This window comes from Homo sapiens, chromosome 7, assembly GCF_000001405.40.
Source record: "Homo sapiens chromosome 7, GRCh38.p14 Primary Assembly".
Lineage (NCBI taxonomy): Eukaryota > Metazoa > Chordata > Mammalia > Primates > Hominidae > Homo > Homo sapiens.
Window position 1 is genome coordinate 111,334,336 of NC_000007.14, and position 18,567 is coordinate 111,352,902.

The 18,567-nt window shown below is 36.3% G+C and overlaps 1 protein-coding gene and 1 long non-coding RNA gene across 27 annotated transcripts in view; both read right to left on the minus strand.

The window, feature by feature from the left end:
- Positions 1-18,567, minus strand: part of IMMP2L (inner mitochondrial membrane peptidase subunit 2) — an 899,849-nt gene that overhangs the window by 671,692 nt on the left and 209,590 nt on the right. The gene's annotated exons all lie outside the window — the stretch shown is intronic.
- LOC124900232 (uncharacterized) overlaps positions 1-18,567 on the minus strand; it is a 58,562-nt gene continuing 39,995 nt past the window's right edge. Inside the window, exon 2 of the long non-coding RNA XR_007060475.1 lies at positions 1-18,567. This exon is cut by the window's right edge and continues 34,161 nt beyond it. This is a non-coding gene — a long non-coding RNA (uncharacterized LOC124900232).

Consider the following 18,567-nt stretch of genomic DNA (forward strand, 5'->3'; position numbering starts at 1 on the left):
TTATTTCACTTAACAAAACGGCCTTCTGTTTCATCCACGTTGCTGTACATGATAGGATTTCATTCTTTTTTATGGCAGAATAATATTCCACTGGGTATATATACCACATTTTCTTTATGCATGCATCAGTTGATTGGCACTTAGGTTGATCAAGTATTTTTAAAGCAATGGTCAGAGAAAAATTCATAGCCTTAACATTTCTATCAATGAAATTTTAAAAATAAAAAAGAATTAAATTCCCAGCTCATAAAGGCATTCAGGGTAATAAGCTAATTTGTATAACATGGCATTTCATACATGCATGACTAAAGAAACAGTCCCCAGGTATGCTCTAGGTTCTCATCCTTTTTTCAACTTGGTCCTGGCAGTGCAAAAGACTTCCAGGGAATTTAGCTCCCTAGAAGTTGATGGCACTGATTGCCCAAGTATGTAAGATAATACCAGACTACTAAAATTATTGTTTTTTAAACCTTCACTTGTATTTCTTCCATTTCCCTCACTTTTCCTAACGTCTCTCAGTACACAGAAAAAAACAAGAGAAAGGTTGATTCGGGGTAATATCAGTCAGGTAACGATGGAATTCAGAAATTTGAGACACATCTCTTCTTTCTTGAGGCATATCACTCTTATACTGTTAATCATTCCACAGAGAGCTCTAACAAGAAGCTTTCATTGGTCTTTGAATCTGTAGCAGGAGCAGTTTATAGGCCAAGTCCCATAAGCTCAGCTGAGATTCACACTTACCGATGCTCTTCTGGAATCTAAACCTTAACACTGGCATAAGAAGCAGAGGAGACAGAAAAAGAGACCTAAAAAAACTTTTCTTTATAGAAAAGATACAAACTAGAGCTAGGTTTCAGCCTCCCTCACCTTCTCTTTGGAACAGATCTTACATATTTAAAACCATATTTGATGAAATGGATGCATCCCTTTAAATAGTAACAGATATGAGGATGACTACCAAATATCTCTCTGTTATTATAAGCCTGGAGAGTCCCAAAAAAGTCAGCCAGACAACATGAAATGTAAAATGTCTAAAGAGTGGAAATATAACAAAGCTAAATGGCAAATGGACAGGGAGGAAATATCTACAGCACAAAGATGAAAGGTTAATATTATATAGAACAACTCAAAATAAAAATAGGTAAAAGTTATCAACGTGAAATTTACAGGTGAAATAAACATGAGAACATGAAGATATCTCCAAGATCACTAATAACTTAAGAAATACGAGAAAGTTTATTGAAATGCTGTTTATAGCAGCAGTAAGTAGAAACAGCCTAAATGTCCATCAGTAAGAAAATTACTAAAAAGACTAGGAAATACACATATCAAAGAACACAACAGGACACTTTAAAAGAATGAGTTTGAGCTACATAAACAACATGGAAAGTTCTCTAACATTTATTGTGACATGATGACATTTATTGTAAATCGTTTAAAGGTGTGTAATATGCACAAGTTTGATCCTTCTTATAAAACAGCAGGAAAGTATATATTTCTACATGTATGTATATAATTTCATGGAAATACACAGGAATAAAGTTATCTGGGATGATATACATCAAATGAATAATAATTACCTATGGGGTAGGAATTGCTCTTGGCTAAAAAGGGTAAGAACGTTCTTGTACTTTGTACATCAATAGATACTTACTTGATGTTTAAATTGTTTTGTCAAAAAAATGGTTTCAAGTATACTTAATTTCATCTTAAGTTTTTGTTGTTGTTTGAGAAGGGATCTCACTGTGTCATCCAGGCTGGAGGGCAGAGGCACAATGTTGGCTCACTGCAGCCTCAAACTCCCAGGAAGAAATCCTCCTGCCTCAGCCCCCCAACTAGCTGAGACTACAGGTGTGTGCCGCCAGGCCGGCTATTTTTTTTTTTTTTAAGTTTTTTGTAGAGACAGGGTCCCACTATGTTGCCCAGGCTGGTCTTGAACTCCTGAGCTCAAGCAACCCACCCACCTCAGCCTCCCAAAGTGCTGGGATTACAGGTGTGAGCCACCACACCAGGCCTTATTTTAAAGTGAATGGAAGATAAAGAAATAAAAATATTATGTGTTTAAAATGTTTTAGATACTTTTAGTTATGATGACACTTCTCAACCTAACTTGTAGTCTCAACCATATTTTTATATGTTTTATCTATCTTTGATTTGGGGTGGATCTCTCAATACTATCTTTCAGCTTAAAAATTATCTCTAACAGTAAATTTTCTAGAGTTTATCTTGTCTACAGTAGTGTTTTAATTTCAATTACATTTTTCAATTCCACAGTTTCTAATAAGTTCTCTTTCATATTCATGCATTCATGTTTCATTCTGCCTATTTTGTTATATAATTTCTTGCTCTTTCTCAATGAAAGTTCTCTCTTCAATTATCTTCATAATAAAGCACACTTATTTTATAGTATTGATCAGATCTTTCTGCTAAATTAATTTTACCCAAAATGAATTCATGTTTACATTATTGATTAATCAAGTTGCCTTTCTCAGAAGTAGACTTTTTTTTTTTTTTAGAATTTTGGTACTCAGTCTTATTTATACTGAATAAGGTAAAGTGGCTTAACAGAAACTAGTCTTGATAAGGTAAACCAAATAAGTGAAAATAGTGCCAAACACAGATTCATAAGCATCATATATATTTAATGTCAATTGTTCCAATCTTTTCTCAACTCCAACTTTAAATTTTAATCAAGTTAATGAAAAGCAAGCCTACATTGTTATTATTTAAGTCTGAATATTCGGCCTTCAGAAATTCTGCAAAACTTTCTTGGTTCAGTAAGATTTCTATATTAAGATAAAAAATCTATCTAATGCAACGAACATCCACAGCTGTCAGCTAAATGAAATGTCTGGGTTTTCTTTTTTTAAAAAAAGCAGAGAATTATAAAAAGTAATACACTAAATAGTTTATTTTAACTTAGAAACACAAATAGATATTGATTTGCCTATCTTTTAAAGTTATTTGAAGATATAAAAATTATTTAAGAATAGCCAATAATAGAAATTATGCCATAATCACCCCATTAATTACTTTTTTTCTATCTTCCATGGCTCCCAGCACATATTTTGCAGTATCTAACTGAAGGTATTAATTAAGTTATTTGGATGGAAGGATGGATGGATGGATGGATGGATGGATGGATGGATGGATGGATGGATGAAATGGACCAATGAATGGGCAGATGGATGGACAGTTGAATGGGCAGGTAGGCTGACAAATAAAAGAATCAACCATTCAGCAAGATGAGCCAAGTCTGACCTCAAATTAGTTAAACCTAGAGTGTCTTAGTTACCCAAGGTAAACAGAGAAACTAAGTACCATACATGGGCAGATGTATGGACAGTTGAATGGGCAGGTAGGCTGACAAATAAATGAATCAACCATTCAGCAAGGTGAACCAAGTCTGACCTCAAATTAGTTAAACCTAGAGTGTCTTAGTTACCCAAGGCAAACAGAAAAACTAAGTACCATACATTCAGGATTAGATTTTCCTTCTTTTCCATCAACATTAGCAGAAGCAAAACCAGCAACAGCATCAACAAACATTCACTAAAAATCTGTCATGTGAAGGCCTCTATGAGGTTTACCAGAGATACAAAGAAATAAAAAGGACTGCCTCTGCACATAATCCAGTTGGAGAGTTAAAACACACATAAAAGGATAGATTACGATTCAGGGCAACTTGTGAAAGGTGGCAAGTAGGTGAGACAGAGAACAGAGTGAGACAAAGGAAGAAGGCAAGGGCAGAAGCACAGTGAAAGCACTTCATGGAGGAGGCAGGACCTCAACTATGGTAGAGAAGAGAAAGTTCTGCAGTCAAATGCACAGTGGCAGAGATGATAACTGTAGGGCAAAGATGAGATCAGTTTAACAGAGGAGAGTGTTTGTAGGAAAGATGTGTAGAAGTTATGTGTGATTAAAGAATAGAAGCAAACTGTGAAGGAAAGAAATGCTATTGCTATTTTTTTTCTCCTTAGCACGTTCCTCCCCCCCTTTTTTTGCTATGAATCTCAATATTTTAGATAAGAACATTAAAGTTCAACCATCTACCCCCACCCCTGTCATTCTAGTTACAGTAAATTGTTATTGCATAAATGGGGACTAGGTATTCTCAATAATAAACTACATTGGTAAAAATAATTAATGGATATGCCATAAATCAAACAATCATATATAATAAGTACACTTAATAGTACAAGTTTATGAAAAATAAATTGCTTTACCTACTTGGGAGTTAGTTTAGGATCTTATAGCACAAAAAGCACACATGAAGGAAATAAAAATTGTTGATCCTTATCTAGCATCATTTAGCCAGACACTGTAGTATATGCCTCTGATTATCATTTCACTAACACTTACTATATACTCTGTGAGGTATTATTGTCTTGTGAATAAAGAAATCTAGGTTTGTAATTTTTATCCATTAATGAGAAAGAACTAGCAATAGAAAGAATTAGCAGGAATTCCACATTCTTGTCCCTTTGCCCCAATATTGCATGCATGTGCACATGCTTAAGATTTGCAGTTGGCAACAAGCTTCACCAAAAATAAATTCTGTCAATACAACTATTTATCCTGAGTCTCAAGAATATTGTCCCAGGAGTCAATAACTACCTTTTTTCTTGATCCCAGTACACTACAAGTGAGCTCCTCTGGATTTTATTTGTACAAACGATTCTTCCTTCAAACTAAATTACTGTAAAAACACTTACCACAAAGGAAATTGCTAACAAAATCATTATCTACCTCAGTACAAACTAATGTTATTACTTTCAGGAAACAGAAGCAACTGAATTATATAATAGAAATATTAGTTTAAAAGGTCACTGGATGTCAGAATGTATCATTTTGCAGAAGCCTCTTGAGACTATTCATCAGAAATTATAATGCTTAGAACATCAAATTCAATGCCATGATTCAGCAGATCTCTCTCCTCCCTGGTTCATTTAGCACCAGCCATGAAGCTAAGTAAAGGGAAGATAGTTATTCTCTCTGAAAAGAGAGAGTATTTCTCTCTGAAATAATTCCTTCCACTTGCAATTAAGAAGAATTAAAAAAAAAGAGAGGCCCATGTAAGTTGTTCTTTATTAATATACACCTAATACCCTACATAAATATATAGAACATACACCTTGACATTAGCTCTAGGAAGAACCAGCTTAGCCCTACACCGCATTTTACAGATGAAGCAACTAAGACACAGTGAAGTAAAGAGTTTAACCAATCAAAATTGCAGAAATAGTGACTGAAAAAACTGGAAGTAAGGAGGAGTAATTAAACAAACTACACCACTCCTCTCAACTAGATAAAAACTATTCAGTACAATTGAACATGAAACAAAGATACAAAAGCTAGTAATGTTTTCAGTCCTCTATCTCATTCAAAGACTTCAACTCAACTTTTTATTCTGTACCTATACTTGCATAGTAAAAGAATTTTGGTGAAAATTGACTAGTTAGCCTTCTGTAATATATCAAAATACCTTCCAAACACCATACTGAAAGGAACTGAGGCTAAAATAGCATTCAAAAGCCATATCAAATAAGGATGCTATGTTCCAAAACACATGGTTTAAGAACTGCACATAGCCCCCCAGAGTGCTAGTTGGGATTCTCAGGCAAATTATAGTTGTCAAAGAAATATCAATTCTTTGTAGATCACTGATACTACCATTCTATATACAGAATACTCTAGAAACAATTCACTGTAACATATTAAACATAATCAAGAAACTCTAGTACATGTGGAAAAAATAGAAAAAAAAAGTTATTGGGTATCAAATGAACTGAAATCCGAAAGTTCCTTTTTCCTGACTTCAAGTTTTGTAGCATACACAGTGCAAAAAGAATCATTATTATTGGGCAACAAATATATCTATAGTAATTCAATATGATCCCTGAATATTTGACATTTTTTGTTCTGTTACAGACTTCTTTGTACTTCAAAGAGATGACAGCCTGATAATACATCCATTCAACTTTTTCCTATGTCAAAGGAAAAGCTGGGATAAACAGAAAAATATAAAAGATGTTATTCTAGTTGTTCTTAAAAAACAAAGTAATTATATCCTATTTAGATTCTTTAAGAATTAAGACTGTGTATGTTTTCAGCCAATATGATCCCTATTTCCTCAAAACACATCTCTAATGTCCACCATACTTTCAAATATAGAACATAATAGAACCACTTTGGAGAATTCTTTAGCTGTATCTCCTAGGGCAGAACATGTATGTACATATCCTAGGTCCCAGGAAGTCCACTCCTAGATTTATACCAAAGAGAAATTCACAAATGTACAGGAAAGTTCAAGCATTTGTAATAGCCAAAAACTGGAAACAACCCAAATGTCTATTAACAAGAGGATGGAAACATAAATCATAGAACAGTCTTACAAAGGAATACTACATAGCAAAAAAACATTGAACTTCTGTTATAAATAGCAGGAATGAACCTCACCTGCACAATGGTCAGTGAAAGAAGTCAGGCACAAAAGAGTACTTACTATAAGTACGCTTTTGATTAATACACACTTCTGGCAAATCTAACCTATGGAGACAAAAGTCATCTGGGTAAAGACAGGAAGGTCACATGAGGGAGGAAATGTTCTTTATCGATATTGATCAGTGTGATAATTACATGGACCAATACTCTGGAAAAGTTCATCAAGCTGTACTTTCAAGATGTGTGCACATTTCTGTTTGTATGATATACTTCAATTTTTAATTTTCACCAAAAATATTAAGTATATGTTAGAATTTTTCAAAGATTACATTCTGCAGCAATGAATTCAGCAGAGCAATATTGAGAATAATTGGATTCTAGTAATAATTCGTCTACTAATCAGCTGTGTAATCAATCTTTAATACAACCTAACCTCTCAGTGATAATTCTGGTAGCCAATACATCACACAGAAAAGTTCTCAAGATATTAAATCAATTTTATTCATTTAACAAATATTTACTATGAGCCACTGTTCTAGGCACCTGTCTCTTGCATTCTAATGGAGGGAAACAGAAAATACTCAGCAAACATAATGAATGAATATATGAATAAATGATGTAAACTGCAATCAATGTTTAAAAAAACATAGTTACATACATATGAATTTGTACGTGTATATATACACCAAATGAGACTTTCAATCCAGTCTTAACACACCTAAACATATATAAATACAGAAAGGAAACTGGCTTGAAATAACTATTTCATTATGATCTAAATTAAAACCATTCCCATGGTAAATGCTCCTGCATAAATCTTTATAAATAATTAGCCTTGATAACATATGAAATATTTAAACATATCCTTGAAACCACAGAGGATAGAGCTAGAACCAAAAAGGCAGATTTTTCAAAGGAAGAAATTAGTTCAATATTGCTATGGTCTGAACGTGTCTTCCAAAAAGCAAGTTTTAGAAACTTAATCCCAATGCAACAGGGTTGAAAGGTGAGGCCTAATGGGAGGTGTTTAGGTCATGCAGGCTCCACCTTTATGCGGAGATTCACACTAATTACAAAAGAGTTTGAGGCTGTGTGTTTGATCTCTCACCCTCTTTTGACTTCTTTTTGCTCTTCCACCACAAGATGAAACAGCAAGATGGCCCTCACCAGATGCCAGCTGCTCAATCTTAGACTTCCCAGACTCTAGAACCATGAGCCAATAAATTTCTATTCATTATAAATTACCCAGTCTCAGGTAGGCTGTTATAGCGGCACAAAACAGGCCAAGACAGGTATTTAAGAAAGAACTTTAAGTAACCAAAATATTTTAAAAGACAATATTAAAAGAGAGATTTGATACTGGATTGTAGAGGAGAAATAACTTTTGTATTTGGGAGGAAGGTTAGATTTGACTTATAGAAAACTTCCAGAACTTAAATTTGTCAATTGGGAGTTTTCAATATATACTAAAATATTATATTTTTATAAAATCTTTTTTGCATATATACAAAATACAAAGAACAAAGGTTGGCTGGGCACAGTGGCTCACGCCTGTAATCCCAGCACCTTGGGAGGCCGAGGTGAGCAGATCAAGAGGTCAGGAGATCGAGACCATCCTGGTCAACATGGTGAAACCCTGTCTCTACTAAAAATACAAAAATTAGCTGGGCGTGGTGGCACGTGCCTGTAATCCCAGCTACTCAGGAGGCTGAGGTAGGAGAATCCCTTGAACCAGGGAGTTGGAGGTTGCAGTGAGCCGAGATCTCAACACTGCACTCCAGTCTGGCGACAGAGTGAGACTCCATCTCAAAAAAAAAGAATAAAGGTCATATACAATTTTACACTGGTAATAAACTGACATTTGAATTTCTCTGTATTATCTTATTGATCTTAAAAATGCTATTATAATTACGCAAATATAATTATATATAATTTTCTGTTCATTATTCAACGAGCATTGTCTAGAAGTATTTTAAATATGTCAACTTTCACTGTAATTCTAGCTAGCTTAAAATTTTTGTAGTAGTAAGTATTCACTCTTTCAAAGATACACGAATCTCTAAAAAGTTATATGATTTCTTTAAAATTTAACACCCTTCTAACATAAAAGTTATGCAAAACCCCAGCAAACTACCAAAACAAACCATGTATATGCTAAACTCAAATTGCCTAAAAATTTAAATAACAGAATAAAGTAGCAATAAGATTCAGTGAGGACCTGTTTATACCACTCCCTGGTAGTTTCAAACAGTCTCATTGATTAAACCTAACCAAGCTGAAAATCCTTGCAACTACCTATTATGCATACTAGACTTTTGCAGAATATTATCAACAAATATTTATTGAGTGGTTGTATCCCTTTCCAATCTATTATTCACACTACAATTACAAGGATCTTTGTTAAATGTTAATTGTATCAAGTCATGCCTCTTCTAAAAATCATAAATGGCCCCCTGTCTACCACAACATTATATCTAAGTTCTTAAAATGGCTCTTGGAGTATTATAACATGCCCTGCTCACTTCTGTGACTTTTCCTTTCTCTAGTCTCTCTGAACTAAACTCTTCAACTACAGGGATCCAACTTCAACTCCTCTTCTGAGCTTTTCAGATTCTGGCTCTAATCACAAGCTATCACCTCTGCCTACCACACTATATCCTGTCCTTTCTAACTTCCACTCGGCCTTCACTATTCAGCTGAGACATGACATTCACCCAGAATCCTTTCCTGGCTCCCGGCGCACCCAGTGCTTCACTCCTTCAGCAACCACATAGTGTGTAATGTCCCGTCTTCTCCACTATCAGCAAGAGAGGGACCATTTCTCTGTGTCCCTGCTCTATATACAATGGCACTTAGTAAACTCAGTATCTTTTTAATACATGAGTGAAAGATATCAATGCCAGCCCCATGCTGAGTCCTTGAGACATAACATAGAATAAAAATGTATTTCCTGCACAGAGAATTTGATGGTCTAGGTGTTCATTTACATTTGAAAAGGCAGGGTGAAACAGAAAGTAACCTTGTGATCACCATAAACTCTTCAAGCTTTATTTTCCTCTTCTGTAAAGTGAGGAACCTTCACCACCCCATTTTGTGGTACAACCATCATTTACTGATCAAAACAGAAAACTGATCGTGGTCATTGTTTCTTCTCTCTCCCTGAAACGCTATTTCCCATACAACCCAAAAAGTCTCGGTATGAACCTGCAAAGGGATATTTTGAATCTGACCACTTATCTCCATTTTTTCTATACTCACAGTAATCCACTTCCCCTCTCTTAGACCTCTAAATGCATTATTTCCATTCTTGCCCCATCCAATTTATTTTAATATAGAGCTGTCAAACTATAAATAGAAGTCACTTTACTTAAAATCTCTCTCAATGACTTCCTACCATCCTATTAATGATCTGATTTCTACTGACCTCTCCAAACATACCTCCACCAGCTTTGTCCTAGTAAAGCTCCAGCCACATGGCCTCCTCCAGATCTTGCAACATGCCAAGTTTTTTCCACCTCAGAACCTTTATACATGCTGTTCATTCTGGCTAGCACATTCTTCCCTTCACTTTGTGTATGCCTGCTTCCTTTTCTTCCTTCAGTTTCAATGTAATACCTCTTGAAATAGACTTTCCTTGGACACCATATCTAAACTGAACTCTCAATCTGTATTCCTGTTTTTCTCTATTACCCATTCACTGATCTTTCCTTCTTTGTTCTTCAGCATATTCCCAATAGATAGAGCCATGTCTGGCATACAGTAGAAAGACTAAAAATGATTTAGGAAGGAAGCAAAAAGGCAGGGAAGCTGTCTATAGGTGTAATATATGCAGACTATTTTGATGTGAACACAAGGTTCTTATTTTCTCTAAATTTCACCTTCAACAGCCTAACACCCATCAGTAGAGATGGATAAATGCCTTCTGTTTTGAACACTACCGTTCATACATAAGTTACCTGAGATTAAGTCATGTATTAACATGTATCAATATAGCTGAGTTTTTAAAAGTAGATCGCTGTTACCTTAGGAAGGACAAACAGGAGAATGGAGGAAAAGAAGATAAAACACTGGAGAATTTTAATAAGAGAGAACAAGTCGACAAAGTTCTGAAAATGAAGTGGCACCTAAAGGCACCAGGAAGAGGCCACAGTGATAAATCTCTGGAGGAGAATATGAGGCAAAACAACATTTAAGTCCCAGAAACCCAGGGACTCAACTCGGGTATAACAGTAGTAAAACTGACAGGGCAGAGGTAGTAGTAAAGATAAACCCTGAGTAACTCACATACAGTTTTCCTTAGAGTTTTATTGAACAGATTTATTAAGAATGAAAACTGGAAATTTCATATAATATCACATAAAACATTATCCACATTTTAAGATTCAATAAATTCCTTTATCACTCCTGGGCAAATCTAATATTACTAAATGTGTAATATTACTAATTTGAGGTCAAGTAAAAATTCCAAGTAGACAGATTTTTACATCAAACTATTTTAGTTGTGCTTCATTAGAAAGCTCAACATGATCAGGTTCATTTCCTCTTGGTCACCTGAGGCACAATTTGCTACCCACCACTCTGCAATAAGCAGCTGTTTGCAATAAGCCCTATGTTGCACACATTGGACTGTCTCCTGGGGTTTACAGGATGTTGATTCCTAAAGGCCAGATTTAACACTTTGGGGAAATATAAAAGACAGCATGCAAATACAGAAGAAGAAATAATGTATGGTATTTGATTATTTGAGGACTGCAACATATTACAGGAATTGGTTACCACAGAAACTGTGATCTGTAAATGGTCCAGGTGGAATATGCTTGAAAATAACATGATATGCAAAAACTGAGTTGACTCATAGAACATCAGAGGAGGCTAGTGCAATGGAGATTATCTAGTGGGATTCTGGCTAGTGGCTAACAAGTCTAGCTCTGTATTCAAAGTACTAATGTCCCATTTGACAATCCTGACTGGTGAACATCAGGCCTCCACCAAAATAGCTGCTATACTGTCCAGGTCATTTTAAGGCAGCTCTGTTATGGAATTCTTCATATTGAGTGAAAAACCTACCTAAACTCTTTAATATACACCCATGTGGCTATGCTCCTTAGAGCCAAGAGAATAAACTGAATTCATCTTCCACATCTCCACAAATACTTGGAAGCAGCTATTGCATATCCTCTTGCCTCAGTTTTCTTGTCTTCAGATTAAATAGCTATAGCTTATTCAATTTCAACCATTACTGCAAGACATAACATTGGGTTATTTCAATTACCTAACCACTCTCTTCTAAATATGTTGTCATTGCTATATTTCAATGATCAAAGACAAATACACTAAGTCAACGATAAGAACCATCATATGTAGTAAGTGCTTTGTATGTCTTATTTCAGTAAAGCCTAATATGGAAGACATTATAATCACCAACTTATAAATGAAGATACTGAGGATTACAGAAATAGAAATACTTGCTAGAGGCTATATTGGGAGTAACAAAGTCAGGAATTGAACCCATGTTGACTCCACTATGCCCTAACCCTTGTCCTGGGCTATTTCAGGAGAGACCTAAGCAGAGCAGAGGAGAGAAGGGGGTAAGAGACACTACTGAGCATCTGTTAGATCCAGAATCTGTTATTCAATATGTAAGCTGACTCATATATTCAAACTATCTATGCAATCAACATACCAACTACATTTTTCTCCAAGTAGTTTGGATGGAGCCTTCCAAATGATCCAGGAAAAAGTGTGAACTTACCTCACACTTACAGGCCCACTGAGTTTTTTAAGTGATAAAATTTATACTTTCACTATGGTATTTTAAAAGATCCCTCTGGAAGTATACATGGACAGATAAACAGAAAGCCACACTAGAGACTGAGAGCTTATAGCTCTGAGGTGAGCCAAGACAAGAAGCTGACTAGATTACAGGTGTGTAGATGGAACAATATTTATGAATTCAAGAGAGATTTTTAAAAGCAGAACTGACAGTACTTGGTGATGCTTTAGATTTGTAAGCTGTGGTATAGCAGTGACTTAGAATGTGGCTCTGGTCAGACTCTGGGCTTTAAATTCCAGCTACACCACTTTAATTTGTGTGAATGAAGCTATACTTTGGTTTCTGTAACTGTGACATAGGCACAAGAGCACCTAACTCATAGAGATGCTGGCAAAATTAACTGTGATAATAGATGGCAGAGGGTTTAAAAAGTCTCTGTCTCATAAGAAATGTTCACTAATCACTAATGTGATTGATAAGGAGAAGAAGGAAAAAAAAGAAGAGAGGTGGGAAAAGGCAGTCTAGAACGACTGCCAAGTCTCTGCTTAGGTGAATGAATAAACTCAGAGAGAACAGAGGCAGAAAGGCTGGCTTGAGGAAGAAGAATTTTGTTCTGAATGTGATGGGCTTGAGGTATGTGACAGGCATACAGATAGCAATAGATTGAAGAATATGGAGTGTCAGCAGGGTAGTCTAGCCTTTTAAAGAAGCTTGGTTAAGAAGGAAAGCAGAGAGGATGTAAGGGCCAGAGGAGGGAAGTGACTTATTTTTATGGGTACACAAGCAAGTTAGAGTTTGAAAGAGAAATGCCAGAAGACAGGGAGGGGTTGAAGGTAAAAACGATTAAGAAGTGGACGAAACCAGTCTCCAAGGGACAAGGTCAGGAATTAAACTCATGTTTTGCTCCAAAGCCCCTACCCTAACTCCTGACCTGACTACTTGAGCAGAAACCAAGCCAGGGCAGAAGAGAGAATGGATAACCAGAGAAACAGGCTAAGAGCACAAGAATAAGCTTCAAGCAGGACTAAGAGGAACAGTAGGAAAGAGGGAAGGATGGCTACAGAGAGGAAGCCTCTCTCCGGTGTTCATATTTCCCAATCACCTGAGATCAGCTCCAAGGAGGTTGGGGAGTAGAGGGTTGGGCTTGAGTATGATTATCAGATTTAGAATATATGAAAAAAACAGGAGAGAAAGGGACAAAAGAAAAGCCATTCCTGCAATGAGCTTCTACTCAATCTTTCAAGGCCCAATTCCATTGTGTGTCATCTGTGACATAGTTCCCCACCTTTCCTCTTTCATAAATGAAATTTATCTCTCACAGAAAATTTTATTTTAAAAAGTTCTATCAAGACTGGATTAAGAAAATGTGGCACATATACACCATGGAATACTATGCAGCCATAAAAAAAAGGATGAGTTCATGTCCTTTGTAGGGACATGGATGCAGCTGGAAACCATCACTCTGAGCAAACTATCGCAAGGACAGAAAACCAAATACTGCATGTTCTCACTCATAGGTGGGAACTGAACAATGAGAACACTTGGACACAGGGTGGGGAACATCACACACTGGAGCCTGTCGTGGGGTGGGGGGAGGGGGGAGGGATAGCATTAGGAGATAGACCTAATGTAAATGATGAGTTGATGGGTGCAGCACACCAACATGGCACATGTATACATACGTAACAAACCTGCACATTGTGCACATGTACCCTAGAACTTAAAGTATAATAAAAAAAAAGTTCTATCAAAGTATTTATGAAGATGAAATACTTCTAAAGTGCTTATATAAAATCTTTATATGAGAAGATTTTATCTTCATAAATACGTCTCTCCAACTAGGTCACATTTTGTTTAATGCTAAATTCTCATCCACTCCCTAAAACACAGTAGATGTTCATGTTTTCTTAAAAAGACTGAGCCAGTTTTCGGTCCATCTAACTATACTCTAATACACTTCCTTCTCCATTTCAGTATGTTAGAAACCAAATGATGCAGTTTTTGAGAATAACAAATAAAGAAAACCTGCAAAATTGTCCTAATAGCAAACAGTTAACATGAGTCTGCCCTACGAATAAGATCATTGCTTCCAAACGTTTTTAAAATACTCCCAATGGTATTATTAGTATCATTTATAGAACTAGACTTGTGTGATAGTCTTTAGAAACTGTTAAGATAGCATTAAAATATATCTCATAGGTCCCTCGATGCTCTCCTGGTACAAAATGAACCTGTGCCATTTACATATTAGCTGACTCTGACATCCAAGGGTTCTGGTATCTGAAAGCAATGAATATGACTTCTTCTGTCCATCTTATGTGTATCTCATAAGCTCCTAAGGACTTTCCTGGAAAGATTTTAGACTAGCAAAGAAATATTTTCTTCATCAAAAATCCTTTCAAGTATTTATTTCCTTCCCAAGTAGACTGAGTTCTGTGTGTACTGGTTAATACTTTATAAGCTTCAGCTTGCATGCAGAACACATCAGAGGCTGTTTTATTTCCAGACATAGTTTTCCTGAAATTTTAATTGTTTGCCATGAGGAAAAAAATGATTTCAGAGCTCAAACTACATTACCTACGAGGAGTCTCCCAGAGCTCTAATTACCAGAATCAGAACATAGGATTGCTACTTCAATTCCATTTTTCACTAAAATATTGGCAAAATAACAAATTAAATAAAATTATGGCTAATGTTAATAACAATAAATTATTTAACAAATATGAAGGAGCACCTATGTTGAGCAGCTGCTATGTTAGGCATTGGGATGGTAACCAAAATGCATGAAACATTGTTTCCACTCCCCCAAGAATTTTACAGGCAAGTGGGATGCAATATACCTCACTATGGAAAAAAAAGTGAGACAGCAAAAAATAGTTTTAAATTTTTGAGCAAAGTTTAACCAAATGCAACCCAGTTAATTTACATCAGGTGCCTTTCTCTTTAAATTTCAAATGATAAAAGTCAGCTTCTCCCTCTAAACTTCAATAAGGCAAATAAATATTTCTTGGCTTTCATGAAGCCCTAGGAGCCTTAACTATGCAACAGTTCATTCACTAAGAATGCCTGTAGAGGAAGAAGGGTAGTCAGGTGGTACCAGCAAGGGGAGTAGAATGAAGTCCCTGCTTTAAAGAGAGACAAGAGCTAGATAAAACAGCCACTGAAAGAAAGGAAAGGAAGGGGAGGCCAAAGAAAATACATGGCTTCTCTTAGTAGGGCCAAATCATGAGGCCCAATCCAGCCTTCTAGCTTGACTTCCTCTCCTATTGTCTCTCAGGAGCCCTCTCCCTGTTCTAGTCAAAATAAATGTCTCTTCTCTGATGTAGAATAAGAGTCCCCGACCCACACCCAATATCATGGCTCTCATCTACTGCATGTGAGCTCATTACTTTATTTATCAAAACAAAGATGGTCCTTTTTTTTTTTTTTGAGACGGAGTTTAGCTCTTATTGCCTAGACTGGAGTGCAGTGGTGCGATCTCAGCTCACTGCAACCTCCATCTTCTGCTTTCAAGGGATTCTCCTGCCTCACCCTCCCAAGTAGCTTGGATTACACGTGCACGCCACCATGCCAGGCTAATTTTTGTATTTTTAGTAGAGAGGGGGTTTCACCATGTTGGCCAGGCTGGTCTCGAAATCCTGACCTCGTGATCCACCTGCCTCAGCCTCCCAAAGTGCTGGGATTATAGGCGTGAGCCACCACACCTGGCCCAGATGTTCCCTTCTTAAAAGGAATCCTGATGTTAACTATTAAAATAATAAACTATATTACATATCATCAAGCTTGCATATATACATATATATATATATATATAGTTGGACTTATCTTTATTTTTTAAATATTAGTGTATATTATTATAAATTGTTAGGCTATGAACTCATTGAACAGGGCCATCTTAGTGTCCCCAGATCCTAAAGCAGTACACAGTAGGTGTTCAACACACTGTAATGTTACAATATTCCTTCCTCAGATAGGGGGGTCTAGGCATATAATAATTATCTGCATTTTATATGATCATTCTTCATAAATAATCATAGCCACAATAGCAGCTTTTATCTGAAGTCGTGTATTGATTCAGAGAAGGTTTCAGCTTGACCTCACCATAGAATATCAACTTTTCACTTCCTTTCTATAGAGTATTTTATACTATAGGAAAAGAGACTCTAACACCTCTTCCAAAAATAATCCATAACATTTAATAGTTTATTCATAGTCACCATGAGGACTTTGACCTCTCATCTTTTGTATCTATTTTTAATTGTGTTAGAGGCCACATTACCCTAATTTCCTTACAAAGTTTCCACTTAGACCAAAACCGTGAATACTGTAATTGTTGGGGATGATGAATTAGATGAAAAATAGACTATGCATTTTCAATCATTGCATTTAGTATTATTAGGGTAGATGGCCAACTATTACACAGTAAGAGATGAAAGTACAATGCAAATTGATGAAGAAATCATAATCTTAAAATTTTCAACAACAGGCTGGTATTGATTTTGATGTGAAAGTAAAAAGCTTACTTAATACATTTTTTGCTCAATTCGCTATTGCGTGTACACTGGGAAAAATATCTTGCATTCTATACCAACCCATTAAATCAAAATGAATGAGGGGAGCATTTTTATTTTATTTATTTATTTATTTATTTTTGAGACGGAGTCTTGCTCTGTCACCCAGGCTGGAGTGCAGTGGCGCAATCTCTGCTCACCGCAACCTCCGCCTCCTGGGTTCAAGCGATTCTCCTGCCTCAGCCTCTCGAGTAGCTGAGATTACAGACGCGTGCCACCACGCCCAGCTAATTTTTGTATTTTTAGTAGAGACGGGGTTTCACCATGTTGACCAGGCTGGTCTTGAACTCCTGACCTCGTGATCTGCCCACCTCAGCCTCCCAAAGTTCTGGGATTACAGGTGTGAGCCACCGCACCCGGCCCATCTTTTTTACTTACACTGCACTGTGTAACTCCCAATTCCTGATGATAGCCAGCTACAGGAGCAATTCATCACCAACATCATTTTATCATCAAGTTCTTTCATATCTGATAAAACCTATTCCTTTCTGACATATGTAAATTTCAAATGAGTGCTACAGATAAAAATTGTTAAATAAGTGGCTATAATGTGATTCCAAAAACAAAAGGCACCCACTCACTGTACTTTGTTATCTAATTACATGATCATTCTGTTAAACTTCAAGCAATGTATTTGAAATAAGAAAGTGCAGACATATTGTCCATCTCAATTTCATAAATGTTGTATCATATATCCAATGCATATCACTTTAAATTTTTTCAACCTGCATATTTCAAGACAGCTGCTACACAGTACTTTAATTTTTCCTGTTTGATATATTAACATGCAGCTGAATCTGATTTGGTTACAACTTCTCAGTGAAAAAGATGTTCATCTACTTAAACATCAGTTTCAACAGAATGGCACTTGACAGAGAATATTTCCTTTTTCTGTACTACTTTTTCCAGTTGCATTTTATATCAGTATGCTTCCCATTAACACAACAAATATATACATAAAACCAAGACATATGTGTAAAAGGTATAAATGCAGTCAATTAGCCAGATGTTTGGAATCATGGACACAAACATCAGAAGCATTATAAAACCTACAGGAATGGTAATGCTTGACAGGATATGGGAGAAGTATTTTTTAAGAAAACCTTATAAACATAGTACAAAGATGACAAAGACACAATTATAGCCCACTGCAGCCCTGAACTCCTGGGTTCAAGCAATCCCCTGGCTTAGCCTCCCAAGTAGCTGGGTAATGCAGGTACATGCCACCATGCACAACTAACTTTTTTTTTTTTTTTTTTTTTGATAGAGATGGGGTATCACTGTGTTGACCAGGCTGATCTAAAACTCCTGGCCTTGAGTAATCATTGTGCCTCAACCTTCTAAAGTACTGAGATTATAGGCATGAGCCACTGTGCCTGGTCATACTGTTTTCTGCAATAGAACTTACCTCCTCTCTCTCATGCTTCTGTAGCACCAAGTATCAGAAAACATAATCTAGTCATTTCTAGATAAGCTTACATCATTCTGATTTTCCTCAGTAATTTCTGCATATGCTCATCTTAAGAATTCATGACTTCTCATCCTTCTCTTCCCTAAGGTGAGGGTTACGTGGTGAGGGAAGTTCACACAGCAGCCGCATGGTATCGGTGAGAGGCATTGGACCTGTAGCACTCTGATTTGGCACCTGTCAAGTCTCTAGTCACAGCATTTGTGTGATCGGGTTTTCAGTGAACTATCTGTAGTCTTAGTAGACTCTAATCATGTATTCCATACTACCATTCCTGGCTTCTTCTCAACATTACTGTGAGGTCCTTT